This window comes from Homo sapiens, chromosome 21 (genome assembly GCF_000001405.40).
Source record: "Homo sapiens chromosome 21, GRCh38.p14 Primary Assembly".
Lineage (NCBI taxonomy): Eukaryota > Metazoa > Chordata > Mammalia > Primates > Hominidae > Homo > Homo sapiens.
The window spans coordinates 21,268,172-21,285,810 of NC_000021.9; the positions used below are offsets into that span (position 1 = coordinate 21,268,172).

General features: G+C 32.8%; 1 protein-coding gene across 15 annotated transcripts in view; it reads left to right on the top strand.

The window, feature by feature from the left end:
• The window catches only part of NCAM2 (neural cell adhesion molecule 2), a 544,921-nt gene that overhangs the window by 269,763 nt on the left and 257,519 nt on the right, over positions 1-17,639 (top strand). For 14 of the 15 annotated variants that reach the window (NM_001352592.2, NM_001352591.2, NM_004540.5 and 11 more), the window contains 2 exons: positions 12,407-12,481; positions 16,023-16,229. The exons of the other annotated variant lie outside the window; for it this stretch is intronic. In NM_001352592.2, the coding sequence (NP_001339521.1) occupies positions 12,407-12,481; positions 16,023-16,229 (282 nt within the window). The remainder of the gene's footprint in view (positions 1-12,406; positions 12,482-16,022; positions 16,230-17,639) is intronic. 15 annotated transcript variants of the gene reach the window in all.

Here is a 17,639-nt window from a genome sequence, read left to right on the forward strand (position 1 = left end):
GTTTTTGTTGGTGCTGAGGATTTTTCGGAGTTCAGCTCCATGTTCCATCCCACTCGTGGCTGCTGTGCACCTCAAGGTCAGTCACTTATCTCTCACGGAGGAATTTCTCACAGCAAGTCTAATGACTGAAGCTACATTGTGCTGCATGTTTGGGTTTTGGGACATTGCACCTTCCCACACCACACAGGAGCCAAGAATTACCCAACAACATGACACTGCTTCTCTTTTGGACTTACTGTGCCACAGTGAATTGTTTTCTTTGCTTCCTTGCAGTGTTTAACGTTGATGCAGGATCACTGTCTTGGGAGTTGCCTCACGCTGTTTTCTCTCTCTCAAACACATGCATTCACATTCACACACACACATATAGCCCCAGAAAATTGTGAGCTCCAATTTCGTTATATCAGCCTTTCTTTCAATATGTGGAAAACCTCTCACTGTTATTTTATCTCAAGCTGGGAAGCCATTGTACATGAGAATATATCTGATATCCCCATAATTCTTATCTCTCTTCTGATTCACTTTGCTTCATCGGAGAAGGGATGGACTGTTTGTTGCCTCCTCCAACCTGGAAGGAATCCCCCAAGCTTAGCTTTTTCTTCATTCTGAGAAGGTACCGAATTTGCCCCTTCACTTAAATTCTTTAGCAGCATCAACAAAATAGCACCAAGTATTTTGGAGATCGAAAGTTGATTCAGGCTAGGAGTTACAGTCTAAGCACAGGTGCACTTAAATCTAACTAATCTAACTATGGATCCTTCAGAAACAAATAAACCTGAACCCTGTCCCCACATGTAACCTGAGATTATTAGACTAGAGATCCTGGAGACACCTTCAGGCTAGAATCATCCAAGATTCTGAGATGCCTGAAATACTTGCATTGAAAAAACTTAAACAAAAGGTTGTTTCTGTATTTAGCCACTCCAATTTATTTGCCATTTAAAAATTTATCTGTCATCCTTTCCCTATCTTTATGAATACTTTGGAGTGCATTCTTTGTAAACTGTGTTTTCTTTGTATAATACTTAATCTTGGTACTAAACATAAATGTCCCTGGCTATAATATAAAGAGCTCCTGCAACTGATTGGAGGCCTGAGAAACAGAATTGCTGTTTACTACTTAAAACATTTAAATGGTTGATTTTATGGAAAGTGGGAGTTTTTCAGCCTGGTGAAATATTTTTCCTATGGCTACATCGCAGCACACTTCATAGCAGTTCAAACACATCTCCTCAGTGAGTCCATGCATGGCTTTTGAATGAACCAATTAAGTAATGAGTAAATTGTTAGATATTTCTTTGATTATAGATGTCGATTTTATTTGGGTAATCACTGTTACCATGTGCTACTGAAAACCTACACATGCCTTGTAATATTCTTTCTAAATTGTTTATTTTAAAGAAGGGTATGCCTTTAGAAATATTTTGGAATGTGTAATATAAAGTTCATGTTACAGTAATTTTATGATTGGCACTTAACAAAAGAAATTAGTATATTCTCACATTAATGGTAACATCTTTCATAAGTCTCTCATTTTAGTGCTTCTAATTAAAATCATTATTTTTCTAATGTGGAAGAGGGTGTTTTCCTTTTTCTCTACAATATTTTGTAGTAGCATTTGCAGTACTCTGATAAGTTTCACATTTTCTGACAATGTACATCAAAGTTTACTGTTAAGCAATGTAAGTGTTGAATATCTAGTAGTATCATATAATTCATGAAAGAAAGGAAGGCAAAACCTTCTGACTGAACCTTTATGTGACAGATATGTTTGATTTCTGATTTGTCAGGTTTCTACACAAGGTTTATGCTAACCTTAGTCTGGAGAGAGAATACCCACATTGGGGAAGACAAAGCACTTACATAAGCATCTGGAGACTTAGGTATTAGGCACAGTGCAAACACTCCTGTAATTTAATTTAGTACTGCGTAATATTAGTGGTGATAAAAAAATCTTACACTATGTTCTATGTTGACTTCATCAAGGCAGCTAATAACTTACATGTCTAAGTGTTGCCTGTTGAAATAAACTTGGATTGGATGTATAATTTGGGATTAGCTGCCTCTTCAAGATATTTTAGTTTTAATTAAATATCACTCTCAAAGTAAGTGATGAGTGACCTGTTCCTGGTCTCATAATGTACTCAGGGCCTAACTACCACATAAGCACAGATTGGTTGACTCATGACTCAGACAACGTTCCCCAGCCTAATTGGCACTAAGATATATTTCCTACTTTTATTTACATTAAATGATATAAGACAAAAAGGATTTACTTTAAAACAAAAATATGAGACAGGTGGTCCTATTGCTTACTGGTTTTTGAATCTTAACGTAATGATTTTACTTTTACTAATAAACTAATTGCTAGGTATTTCTATGCAATAATGTTTACTTATGTTTGGAGTTGTGACTTCTATATTTACTTCTTAAATGTATTGCAGCTATTTAATTCATACAATGCGTTTTAGGAAAATAATCATTTCCCTCCATTTTCAAAACAAAAGCATATTCAAAGTAGCGTAAGCCTCCTTTCATAAATATTTTCTTTTTAGTATGATGTATTTCACTTTAATTTTTTGGTGAGCCCAGGTTTCTACATGCTTGACCTTTGGGAGATTTTCAAAACCTATTTGATTTTTTTTTCAGTTCTGTGGCTTGATGTCTGATGGGCCTGTAATGATTATATAATACATTGCCTGACCATCATGGCCTTCCCTAGTTCATCATCTCTGCACTTTTTAAAACAGATATTCTCATCTTCTCTTTTAGTTATTTTTTTTTTATTTGAACCTTATTTTTCCATTTTATTCAATTGGCCTCTTTTGGACATCAATTAGTTTTTCAGTACTGATTATTTAGATGACATTTTTGTACATTTTATGTTCACATGTGATATGTGTATGTTTGAAATGAAAAACACCCACATACTACTGAATAAAACAAGTCTACTGAGAATGAAATAAATTTAAAATTGCTTTTTATTGGATTCAACTTTTAAACTCAATAAAAATCTAAAAAGAATGTATTTAATTTTTGTTTTATTTTTGCTAAAGTACATATTCATGTATGCACAAATATTTTAGCATGTATTTTCTTCCAGACCTGTGCTGGGTTTATAGACTAAGATTAATAAGGCAAGACATTGTCACTATTTTCCAAGAGCGTATCATCCAGTGGAGAGACAAATGTGCCAATAAAATTTCATATGTGTTAAGTGCTCCTAGCAAATAGTACAGAAACTAAAAACAAACAGCCTTTTTCAGTTTTAGATTAATTTTAACTTAAATAGCACTAAATTATTTTGTGTAGGGTAATATCATGCCTTTAAACTTTCTTTGTGCTTTCTGCATATTAAAATTATGTAATGCTTATCAAGCTATTTCTGTGCAGTGTGTTATATGCTCTAAGAAAAAGTATTACAGAATTTTAGAAGACAATGAAAGGCTATTTGGAGTACTATTTATAAGACAATGTGGCTATTTGGAGTACTCATGTATGACTGATAGGAATATTCATAGTTGAGAAAAAGGAAAGAGTTCTAATAAATAAGGAACAAAATGTGAAAAGAAATAGAGTAATAAAAAAGTGGGGCCTTTAGCAAAATTTCCTGATAGTTTACTATTTTTTGTTTGTGTTATTTTGATTTGGTTAGAAATAAGTTCTAGTCAATGAGAACACTTGGACACAGGAAGGGGAACATCACACACCGGGGCCTGTCATGGGGTGAGGGGAGTGGGGAGGGATAGCATTAGGAGATATACCTCATGTAAATGATGAGTTAATGGGTGCAGCACACCAACATGGTGCATGTATACATATGTAACAAACCTGCATGTTGTGCACATGTACCCTAGAACTTAAAGTATAATTTAAAAAACAAAGAAATAAGTTCTAGTAAGGTCAGGTGATGTCCAGATTGTTAAAAAGCTTAAATGATAAAGTGTGAAGGAGTTTGGATTTTATTTATACACAGTGGGAAGTATATTTGTTCTAGAGATTGTAGACATATTAGACTGCCATAGTCCAAATCAATGCTGATCACATTTTAATGTGTGCTGCAATCAACTTAAATTATACATTGTGATTACTCTGAAATGGCACCTGAGATCTGTACTACAAAGAAGCTCCTAATTGAGGTCACTAGTGTTGGACTGGTAACCACTTTCTGAGTAGCAATGGTTAGCATCTGGAAGTTACTTAAATATGAGACTCCTTGGCCCTACACCAAATATACTGAATCAGAATTTCCAGTGATGAGACCAAAACTAAATTTAAAAACTACACACATATACCAGAAAAAAACACGCACACATACACACACATGCGCGCGCGCGCACACACACACACACACACACACACTTCCTCAGATGTTTCTGATAAATTCAATACCTGACCTGACTCAATTTTGCAGAATATTCACTAGAGCAGCCTAGCAATGGGGAGACTAAAACTAAGCAAGAATGAAGAGAGACATATTTAAGGGACATTTAAAAAAAGAATGAGTTGGATATTTTGAGTATTTATATTTGAGAAAAGGAGATATAATCTTATACATTTCTCAGTTATCTGGCAAATAGGCTCAGTGGATAACAATTACATTACTGAAGATGAGGATTAAGGAATAAGGTAAGACAGAAAGAGAATGCTCTTGAATTTTGATATGCCAAATTTGAGACATGTAAATTTTTCAAAGTAATATGGTATTTAATGTATTAGCAAATATGTTTCCAGACTCCAAAATGATAATAGGGACATGCATTCACACACACACACACACACACACACACACGGGACATGCATTCACACACATACACACACACACACACACACACACAATCTGTAATTAAAATATAGAAAAGGGAATAAAGGGATAAGGAGATGGTGGGCATATAGAAGCTGAGTCTCAAGTGCTTGAGAAGGACCAAACAAATGGCTGGATTCAAATCTGGTTTCACCGTATATTGGCTGAGTGGCCAGTAGCAATGACACAATCCTTTGCCTCAGCCTTCTCATCTCTAAAACAAGATTGAAATATCTACCTTATAGTAGTATCTACTTTATAGAAATGTTTGAGGAATAAAGTAGTTATTGTGGGTATGCATAGTAAATATCATATATGTTTGTAGTACAGGAAGATAGATAGAACACCAAGAGAAGAAAACAAAGAAGATATTGCTAAGAAACAAATATTTAAGGGATACATGGTAGAAGAGATACCATATACTACTATATACTATACTATATACTATCCTTACTAATATAAGAATAGTCAGGAAAGTGAGCAAACTATAAATATGGAGGTGTCAGGAAACAGGAGGGTCAAAGAACAAAGTAGTTGGCAGTATCTCATTCTTAAGTAAAATAAAAATGAAAACTGAAAACTATTATTGGGTTGGAAAATGAGAAGATTATGGTTTATTTTAAGAACACTAAACTTATTAGTAGAATGGAGAGGACAGAATAAAAAACAAAGAAAGAATGGATACTAGAAAGTTCATTTTTTAAAACAATGTAATGACAAGTAGGATATACTGTATTAATTTGAGAGGGTTAGGGAGATAATTTTTTAATATTATTTGGTTATTTTGTTTTATTTTCTCTTTTGGTTTTAAATTTATTATTATTTCTTGTTTAGGATGAAACTTTATTAAAGAGTGTGCATAGCTTGACAGGAAAAGTGCTATAGAAAAAGAATCACTAAGAAGTTTAGGCCGGGTGCGTTGGCTCATGCCTGTAATCCCAGCACTTTGGGAGGCTGAGGCAGGCAGATCACCTGAGGTCGGGAGTTTGAGACCAGCATGAAGAACATGGAGAAACCCTGTCTCTACTAAAAATACAAAATTAGCCGGGCGTGGTGGCGCATGGCTGTAATCCCAGCTACTTGGGAGGCTTGAGGCAGGAGAATCACTTGAAGCCCGGAAGCTGAGGTGTGGTGAGCTGAGATCGCACCATTGCACTCCAGCCTGGGCGACAAGAGCTAAACTCTGTCTGAAAAAAAAAAAAAAAAATTTTAATCACTTAGCCCTAGAAGGATTCAGATGACCTAATAGCAGGGACATCTATTTTCCTAATTTAGGATGAGAAGATCAAAGAGGTTTGAGTACAGATATAAAGATGTATGCAGGTAAAGAGGAACTACACTAAAATCTTTAACTTTATTTTCTTGTTACAATTAGAAGAAACAATAAAAATAATTTTTAAAAAATATTCATGAATTCCTAAAATGTTTGACGTTAGAGAATTTCTCTCCTAAGTGATCCAAAATTTCTGAAATTGTTTGAATATTGTAGCATTTTTCAGAATCAAATAACACACATAGGCTGTTGTAATGCACTGTTATAAAAATCCAATAACAAGGAGAGAATAATTAAATAACGTAAATAATTATTTTGCAGCAGATAACATTTTAAAATATGTTTCAATGAGAAAATTGTATTCATTTGCTATAATCAATAATTTATAAGAACATTTTAAGGAGTAATACTCTGAGATTTTCTATAATTACTAAATAAATATCTTAGTCTTTTAACACTGTTAATGTGGAAGCCTAGAAAAATAAAAAAAGTGCTTGTTGAAAAATGTTGCAGCTCGTTGTCCCAAGATCAATCAGTGTCTTAAGTTATCTCCACATGTCTTATGAAATTCTAAGTGAACCAAAGCAGGCTCTGTGTCAGACAGTTAGAAGGCTGGTTCAGTTGTCAGTTTTTAAATCTCTGTAGGTGATAAACTCATTTTAAATGCCACTGCTAAATGTTGTATCAAATAGCAAAGGGCGCTTGGTACCCTGATGGAACTTAGAAATGCTAATATATTCATTATATTTATATTACTATAAATTTTAAAAATATCTTTTGAATATCTGTTTGCTCTGGGTGCTTACTTATAAATATTAATTTAATCTCTGTTATGATAATGATTATCTTCGATATAATGTTACCTATGTTTTATTTTGAGAAATAATCTTTATTTAAAAAGATAAATTTGGACCGGGCGCGGTGGCTCACGCCTGTAATCCCAGCACTTTGGGAGGCCGAGGCGGGTGGATCACCAGGTCAGGAGATTGAGACCATCCTGGCTAACACGGTGAAACCCCATCTCTACTAAAAATACAAAAAATTAGCCGGGCGTGGTGGCGGGTGCCTGTAGTCCCAGCTACTCTGGAGGCTGAGGCAGGAGAATGGCGTGAACCTGGGAGGCGGAGCTTGCAGTGAGCTGAGATCATGCCACTGCACTCCAGCCTGGGCGACAGAGCGAGACTCTGTCATAAAAAAATAAAAAATAAAAATAAATAAAAAAAGAAAAATAAAAAATAAAAATAAATAAATTTATGGCCTTATATTTTCCCCTCCATTAACTGATTATGAGAAATATCCAAAATTCTGTCTCCCTACCTTTCTCGTAGGTAAACACTCATAGTAAAATTCTTTGTCATATCAATAACCCTTGTGTCAACAGAGGTAGAAAATCTTAACATCTTTGACTTTTCTCCTTTATCACTAATGCTTTAACTGATCACAGATGTAACGTACCTTGAATCTTTTCTTACATCTATTCTCTACCTTTTCATATTCTTTGCCACAGGTAAACTTATATATTTATCACAAGATACCCTCTTGTTTTTATCTCCCTTCATTCAATTTGTCAGTAATTTTACCTCACAACTAGTGTTTACCAAATGCCAATTTTATCATGTATGTTTTTATTTATAAGTAATTTTGGACAAAAATTCAAGTCAGTTGTTTCTGATATTCTCCTGAGTGTTTTCCAAACTATTTTTCCAATATTTCAGCAATATTCTAGATGAGATGGACCTTGTCTATACTGACCTACTAATTTCCTAAATGTTCCTTGAACACTTCAGCCTTACCCAATGTGGAATGCCCTTATTCTTTTCTATCCTTTTATAACAATATCTATGGCATTTTTTATCTTTTTATGTTTCATTGTCGTCTATAAAGTCTTCTTGATCATAAATTTTATAATGGGCAAACTTGATACACCCCATCTTATTTTATTTTTCATAATTTTATGTACCCCATAGTCCTCCCAAATACATCTTAAACCCCTTGATATTAGAAAGTATTTCTTGCTATTTTTGAGTATGATCATATTTAGAAGAGGGATTTGCAAAATACATATAGTTAATAAATACTTATGAGTATAGTACATAATTTTTAATTTACCCAACTCTACTTATAAGATTGTTATTTCATGCACTTCTTTGGGAATTATTCACAGAGAACATATATTCATCATGCATTTACTTTTGAGTCCTTGGGTTTAAAACTTTTCCTTACCTTAAGTAAGAAATTTGTGATGATATTTATGGATAGCTATCAAATGTTTCATTCTTGTCCAATTTTCTCCAAACATAAATTTTTGACATTAGGAAACAATTTAGTTTTCTTCTGGCTGCCATAGGTGATAAACTCATCACTTACCTTATATTGATTTGGGTCAAAAATCAGCCACTAGGGCAAGATTAAGGCACAACCTCAAATTTTAGTTATGTAGGATTTACTAATATGCCAATGTTTTAATATATATGTATAGTTCAATTAGAGCAAATCTGGTCTTTGGGAAATATAGTGAAGTAGAGAATTATATTTTCTTTATATATTTTAAACATATATAGCAATGAAATATATCATTGTGCCCATTCACCAAAATGTCCATGAATAATATGGCTTAATTAATATGTGCATTGGTAATTTGTACTGAATGAAAAATTAACCAGATGTTTAATATAAATAAATTAATTAATTTCATGTTCAATTTTATTTTATTAAAATGAATTAAGATCAACAAATCAGTATAAACAGTTTTCAGAACTGTATTTGACTTTTAAAATTTCTATAGCTTTCAAGTTCTTTTTTATAAACCCTTCCTTAGAAAAGCAAATTTACTCCTAAGGTCAGTGGTAGGCATTAAGTAATAATTCACACACATTTCTTAGATTCCTGATATCCTTAAATGAAGTCATTCCAAAATTATATGTTGTCAATACAGTCGGTGTTCTATAACTAGCACATGATAAGCTCTTCGTAAGTGTCAATTATTCTGCCATTCATTCATATATTATTAGTTTGGGAGAAATAAAGTTTGATGAATGAGCCCTCACTTCCAGAAATTTATATTTAAATAAGGTAGAGAACCAAATAGAATGATCAACAAAATAAGTTTTATTTGTTTAATGGAAATTCCTACTGATCAAAGATATTGATGTATTTATTGATACCATAGATGGGTCTATCACACACTGTTTTGTAAAGTTCATGATATTTTATGTTTTCTTTGAAGATAGAAAGTAGGAAGCCATGAGGGGTTGTATAGAAAAAGGAGATTAGAACAGACAAAACAGTTTGGGCAAATGCACAATGGTAGGCAAGTGTGAGTCAGTTGGGGAGAGGAGAGAGAATGAATCCTAGGTGATCATAGCTGCAGAAGCATTGGAAATGAGTAATAGCAAATAAACTTGGAAAGGCAAGTTTCCTTCCAATTATAATTTGTATGGTAAGGGACAAATTAAATCAATTTTGAAGATCTTTGAGCAGAAGAGTGAAATTAAACATAGTTTTAGAAATATATGCATGCAGTAGTCTGACAAATACATTAGAGGGAAAAGAGATTAAAGAGGCAAAAGTGAGAAAAAATATGGCAGATGAAATATATTGGATTAAAATTAATGAGTGCGTGTATTTAAAAATAAAAAAATGCATACAAATAGTTTATATTGGCAATGTTTGAAAATTGATTGATGGTGACTAAAAATGGGACAGTGAACCGTGAGCAAATTTTGATGTTAGAGGAATATGTTTGGTTTGCATACAGAAAATTTGAAATTGAAGTATGCTAATGTTAACTGCAGGTTGAAGATGGCAAGATTAGATTTTGAGAAAGTACAGTTTTAGGGGAAATAAGATTATATCTTAAAGAAGAAAGTAAAGGGAAGAAAGAAAAGAGAAGACACATAATTATAATTTCCCCTCCCTTTTTTTTTCAAACTTGTAATATATTTTCTGCTTCTTTCCCTTCTATCCATAAACATTCTCAAGTCTTCTCAATTTATAAAATCCATGCCCTACTGCCCAGAATTGTGGATTCCAGTAACCCCATACATCTCTTCAGATTCAAGCTTCTTATAAGGGCAATCTCAAATTTCTTGAGTTCTGCATTTTGCCTCTGTTGACCTCATTCCACTTAAGCTAACTTCAAAAAGAAAATTGTTTACTTATTTAAAGGAAAAAGACATCTGAATTTTCACTGGATTTGGCATTAATGGTTTATCTACAAGAAAAGTAGGCAAGGGAGAAAAAGAGAGTACCTAAAATCTATTTTTCCCTTGGCTACTTTTCTTATTCTTTCTGACTTGCACTTTTATTTTTCTTTCTGAAACGTTAGATATATTTGAACATTTATTGAGCCTCTATAATATCACAACCATTCTCTGAGTATTGGTAAATTATGAATAAAAATAGGACCCAGGAAAGTCATGTAGACCCTGCCCAAGTTTTCCAGAGAGGTTTCTGGAAAGGAGGAAGGAATTTAACAATTTAAGGTGGAGACTGTGAGGAAACATATTTTAAAGAGCTTAAACAGCATAATTACCAGGGTTTTATTTATTTATTTTTTTTGGTAAATATTTTGTTGCTTCCTCCTGTTCTTTATTACACATTTTATTTCTTTAAATACTTTCAATGTAGTTGTGTTATATTCTTAGTCTAAAAATTATGTTAGTTGAAATCTCATGGGTTTATTTCTCCTATTTGCTGTTTCAGCTGACTCCTGCTTACAGGCCTTATTTCACCATGTGTTTTATAATGTCAGACTACACCCCCAGATTGAAGACAGCCTCATTTATACAACTATTGGCCAGTATGAGCCTATGATATGGTTCTTCTGAATGGTTTTTGTGATTGCTTTTGCCACTTAGCTGTGAGCCCTACACGTGAGACTGCTTTTTAGTTTTTCCAGGTTGAAGTTTTCCAAAGAACACGTTTATAATTAAAATCCCAAACATGGGATATGGCAAAACTTCTGGTTTATCTAATGAGAAACATTTTCCCCCTTCCCAGCTTGGGGGAGGCAAGTTTCCTTGTAATCTCCCTTCACCATTGGGTTGACTGATTTTATACCCTCCTTTGATGGTAAATCTTATTCCAGTCCAGTGTTATCTGGTGTTCTTTTTTGTTTTTGTTTTCTGAGACAGAGTTTCACTCTTGTTGCCAGGCTGGATTGCAGTCGTGCGATCTCGGCTCACTGCAACCTCCGCCTTCCAGTTTCAAGCAATTCTCCTGCCTCAGGCTCCCGAGTAGCTGGGATTACAGGCTTCTGCCACCACACCCAGCTAATTTTTGCATTTTTAGTAGAGACGGGGTTTCACCATGTTTGCCAGGCTGGTCTCAAACTCCTGACCTTGTGATCTGCCGGCCTTGGCCTCCCAAAGTGCTGGGATTACAGGCGTGGTCGTTATCTGGTGTTCTATCACAGCCTGTTGTTCTGGGAAAACTTGGATCCTATCTGTGTGTAGTCTGTGTTCACTGAAATAAGCATTTTGGTTACTATGATCAATAAATTCCCAGTGCAGGTTCGTACTCTAGTTTCAGATCTTCCTTGATTGACCTCTTGCAGCTTTGTCACTTTACCAAAAGCTCAAGTACGTGCATTTGAGCACGTGGAAGGTGAGACGGAGTTTGGAAAGTGGTCATGCTCTCTTTTCTACCATATTGTTAGAAATATGTCAATTCATATTAAAATAACACTTTGCTTATCTTCTAAACTTCTAGATATTCAAGTATTTTATTTCAAATTTCACAAAAAAATTATTTAAAATATCAGGCATCTCCTCTCTTTTATTGTCCTGGGTCCTTCACTTAACTTTCTGATCTTGTGAAAATCAGTGCTGCTTCATCTTACTCTGTGCAGTGCTTTCTTTCCTTTGTATGCCTGCCTTCACAGACAATTTTTAGTAGGTGTCTACATGTAGTTAATTTGCGTGTGTGTGTGTGTGTGTGTAGTTGTTGTAATGATAATATAGGATTTATACAACTGTTGGGCAAACATCTTTTTTTTAGCTATTGCCCAATGTGGTCACACATATAAGACCTAATCTCTGAATAAGGAACAGATTGTCTGAGTGTGAATTTGTTCATTTACTTGACTAACAGAATTTCAGACTATCAGCTTGAAGAAGTGCTGTATTTAGTCTGATGGTTAAATGCATAACAAAGTAATATGTATAATGGTAGATCATGTTTTACAAAACTTTCATTTTTCTTTATAGGTAATAAAAAATTGGGGGGAAATAATCAGCGTTTGGACCATGTGGTTTAGACATCATGCATTAAAATCTTAGAAATCACGCTTAAAAATCACCATTAATTGTTTCCCAATTTTTTTTCAGCTCTTCTTCAAGTGACAATTTCACTTAGCAAAGTAGAGCTTAGTGTTGGAGAATCTAAATTCTTCACATGTACAGGTACGTATTTCTGTAAATACCTTCAGATAACGTGGTTTCTGTTAAAATATTAATAAAATGTGTTGGCTAAATTTAACTAGTTAAAAACTCAGTTCTCTAACAATAACATCTTACAGTTGGTTTTTTGTTTTTGTTTTTGTTGTTTTTGAGACAGAGCCTCGCTCTGTCTCCCAGACTGGAGGGCGGTAGTGTGATCTCGGCTCACTGCAATCTCCCCCTCCTGGGTTCAAGCCGTTCTCCTGCCTCAGCCTCTTCAGTAGCTGGACTACAGGTGCTCACCACCATGCCTGGCTAATTTTTGTCTTTTTGTGTTTTTGTAGTAGAGACGGGGTTTCACCATGTTGGCCAGGCTGGTCTCAAACTTCTGACCTCAAGTGATCCGCCCGCCTTGGCCTCCTGAAGTGCTGGGATTACAGGTGTGAGCCATCATACCTGGCCATTGTTGGGCTTATAATGATTGGAAAAGTGTTAATAGCCATAACTTGCATATAAAATGATATTAATTTTATTTTTGTTAATTTGTTAATTTAGACTGCTAATCTAGATCATTTATTTTGAAAATACCTTATGCTTGCATTATATCTGATAATAACTTAAATCAATTTAAATATTTCTGTCTAAACAGTAATATTAGGATGAATATAAAGATTATAACTGAACCATTTTTGTAAATATGCAATGAATAAATTTGGTATGGCACACTGCACTATAGTTATACTTGAATGAAAATATTAGGCCAAAAATTTATTCTAATATTCATTGAAGAAATAGTTATTTAGTCAGGAAAGCTTTGACTAGATTTTTATGACAATGGAAAGAATCATATGTCATCATGCCTATGGCATATTTTATGGGCCTCATTCAGAATAATAATATACATATGGTTTTCTTTCCAAAGAAATTTAAATATTTCAGCATCAAAGTTTAATCAAACATATTATAGAACTGACAAATGAATGCATTATTTATTTAGGTACAATATATTCATTTTTACAAATACAAGTCTTCATATCCAAACTATGATATACCTAAATAATTTTTTAAACCTTAGTGCTAAAATTAGTTGAGACTATTTTAGAATTGTTTCTAATCTTGATTACACTAAATCAACTTAAAACTGGATTAAAATAGACACTAGAAACATAAAATGCATTATAAAAATTGTCTTGAGAATGACATGATTTATTTAAACCAAGATTCAAATTTATAAATATAGAGATATAATATTTTATAAATAAAAGATATAGTTATAACATTTTATAAATCATATTCAGAGCATATATGTATAACATGTCACATTTTATAGGAATATTAATAGAGCCCATGATTCTTTATACATTTTCCTTCTTAAAGATGTCAGTTGATAGTTATGTTAATACAAGTATTTGTATATTGACAAATGAAAAAATCAGAGAGTGTGGAAGAGATTGATTCAGCATCATATATTATGTCAGCAGAAATTTGACACAAGCATATAGGTTACTGTTTCTAAATCCCATCCATATTTTATTAATATCCTCATAAATTAGAACACACGAATTGTATCACATAAAGGTAGAATAACAAAATAGTTAAAAAATCAATTTTGAAAATACAATGAAATTGTTGTACTTTTATGGATTTGTATATTACTATGAAATATATTGCACAGACTAATTTGCCTGTATGTATTGCATAGCTCAAATTAAGACATACTTTAAAGTGAATTAAGGCCATTCATTGGTGATGAGTTTTGCTCTTAATAAGAATGTAAACTAAGTAAGCATTTATTTTCTTTTATATAAAGATGTATCACCTAGAGCTTTTCTATAGTACTGGAAGTAGTCTTATTTATATTAAATATAGTAGTAAAACAAGATTCTAAAAATAAAGATATTGGAAAACCATGCAAGCCACTCTGCTTGTATGTATTTTTCTACTACAATGCTGACAATCTAGATACTCCTCCAACATTTCCAGACGCCTTAAAAATACAAAATCTAAAACTCAATAAAATAAATATCTTAAATTTAAACTAGAAGGATGTTACACCCTCAAAGAGCTAAAGAAGTGTCATACAGAAAATTGTTATAACTACATTTAAGAAAATAAAGTTTAATGCTATTTATAAATAATCTGTACGTACAAATAGTCCAGCCTTATCAAAATGGAAAATTTTGATAGAAATTATTTGTTAGAGATGCCTGAAAGAAAACAATTATAACAGCTTTATGAAAATCTGCAATAAACTGTTAATGAAAATGAAATGTTCTATTATATTAAGAATGAAAAGACTCAAAATATTTATCAGAATATCCTATTTAACTTACTATATAAAATATTATTTTGTATTATTCAAATGTAAAGAGATGAATGTTTAAATTATTTTTTGTGACTTCTCCATAGATGGAGGAATTAAATAAAACACATCCCTCCTCTTCAAATGCATTACTCTGTAACAACTATGGTTTTATGATTTGTTTAGAAAAAGATGAAGATAATGTAACTGAGATCTTTTTAAGATTCACTAAACTTTCTTTCATACTTTTACTCAAGCATGTCTAATTTCTTATAGAAAGGAGGATAATTTGTTTCTAAAACCATTTCTTCGGAAAAATGAGAAGGAATAATTTTCTTCAAAGAGGTCCTGCAGATGTTAGTTGACTTCATGCATTTCCACATCGATACTTTTGAGTTAATAGTGTCTGCTGCTTCCATAAATGATATCTGAAGTAATTAGGTGAAATACATCCTTTTGGTGACTAAAAGCAGACACAGAAATCTTCAGCTTTAATGAAAGGATAGTAACCTAGATTCTGAATTGGAAAACTTAAATAAATGTTTACCCTGTAATGATTTGGTTGTAATTACCTAGATAAGTATCATTTCAATGCATTGAAATTATCATATGAATAAATAGTTAACAGTTTTAGATTAAAATAATGAAACTACTTATTTCTCTTGGGAAAAGAGATTAGGACATCATTATAAAAACGGTCGTTGGCCTTATCTATTCAAATTTAGCAACTAGGGAAATTAATTTCAAATTTAGTATTATCAAAGGCCAAAGTTGGTTTTGTGAAAGATTTACATTTTTGTAAGCTCGACATTTTCAGAGATTTAAGTGCTATCTCCTGACCCTAGCAAAGACCACTGAGCAGATGAAATCATATTAGTAATTGTGGTTCTGTTCAGATATTATCTATAAGTGGGTTGTATGTCTGGCTCAGCAGTCAAGGAAGTTTCAGAACTTAAATGTAATAATCCATTGATTACCAAGGGAAAATTTCAACAATCATAGCTTAAATACTGTACAAGAAGTTTGCTGTGAAACTTTTAGGTATTGCTTACTCAAGCGTGAATCTTCCATGTTGGATAAACAAAGGTGAACATTTGCACTAACATTTGTGTTTACTTTAAGTTTTGTAAGATTCTCAGATTTCCAGTCTGTTACATAATTTTTTTTCTAAATGGTTAATATTATTACATAATAGTAAATGCCAATGTTCAAACAAATATTTTTAACAATTTTCAAACCTTTATTTTCCATGGCTCTTTGCAGCGATTGGTGAACCTGAAAGTATAGATTGGTATAATCCTCAAGGAGAGAAGATAATTTCAACACAGAGGGTAGTAGTGCAAAAGGAAGGTGTTAGGTCACGGTTAACCATCTACAATGCAAATATAGAAGATGCAGGGATATATCGTTGTCAAGCAACAGATGCCAAAGGACAAACACAAGAAGCTACAGTAGTTTTGGAAATTTACCGTAAGTAATGTATTTATATGTTTTAGTTTATTCAATTTCAGTTGCTTATAAATAACCGAAAAAATAAAATGTTTGATAACACTTATTAAGAACTATGTGCTTTGAAAATAAATATCAGTTTATTTATGCTTTACCAGAGTGTATCTTAGAATAGAATAGCTAACAGATAATAAGTGGTTATAAACATATATAGGGCATCAATTATATTAAATAATATTAATAAAAATGTTTTCATTTTCTCAAGCCATTAAGAATTCACTGGGTATATAGAGAATAGTGGTTTATTTAGTGGTATGATATTTATTCAGCATTTTTTTTTTCACTGTAAAATAGAAGGTCATGATTAGAATAAATGAAAATGTGTGACAGCACTGACCATTGTAGAATGAGAATCTGGGGAAGGGTCAGTGAACAAGAGTAGTCAGAAAGTTGAAACTGATCTAGTAGCCAATAATATTGAGTCAGGATTCTTTACCACTAAGTGTTTTTATTAGCAAAGCTTTCCACATTTGCACTTCATTTTATGTCCTGGGATGGATTTCTTCCTATGTTCCTTTCTCCTCCTTATATTTAAGAACCATTAACCTGTTTAGGAACATTGAAATCTGTTGACTCCTGCATTTTAAAGCAAGCTATCCCAATTACTTTCGTGACCTTGAGCAAATCATGTAACCTCTCTGTCTTTAGTTTCCTCATATATAAACTGAGGATAATAATGGTACCTATGTGATATATGGAGTTTGAGTACTACCTTAAATTATATTGCATAAAGTACTTACAACAATGCCTTACGATTAATAGGTAGTTAGCATTTCTACCAATGGTAAATTATATATATATTAGGAATGCAAGCCCTTAAATCATCTCATATCTGTAGCTTTGTGTTTTGTTTGTTATTCTAGAAATAGGATATGAAAAACAAAGTCGGAACATTCCTACAGTAGGACTTCCTGTTTGATGACCAACGCAATTTGTGGGCACATTGTTGCTCTTGTGTTTCCTGATTTGGAATTTTTCCCTCCCATTTGATTCTGAGCTTCCGAAGAAATGATATTTTCCTAATTTATGTAACCCCCTAGAGTATCTATTTCACAATAGCAAATAATTAAATTGAAATGGTCATTTTATAGATATAATGTTTGGAAATACTTCTTTATTTTAAATGATGCAAAAGAAGAATTGTGACATTTGCAAAGGTAAAAAAAATTTTTGCAAGAACAATTCATTACTTCTGTGAGAATTTCTCATCAAGCATAAATATCCATGTTCACTCATTCATTCATTCATTCATTAAAGACACTTATTAGGTGTGTATCCACTATAATTCTGAGTCCTAGCCAGAGACAGACAGACAATAAATAAACTGAAACAGATACATAGATGCTAGCTAAACATGCTATGGAATCCTAT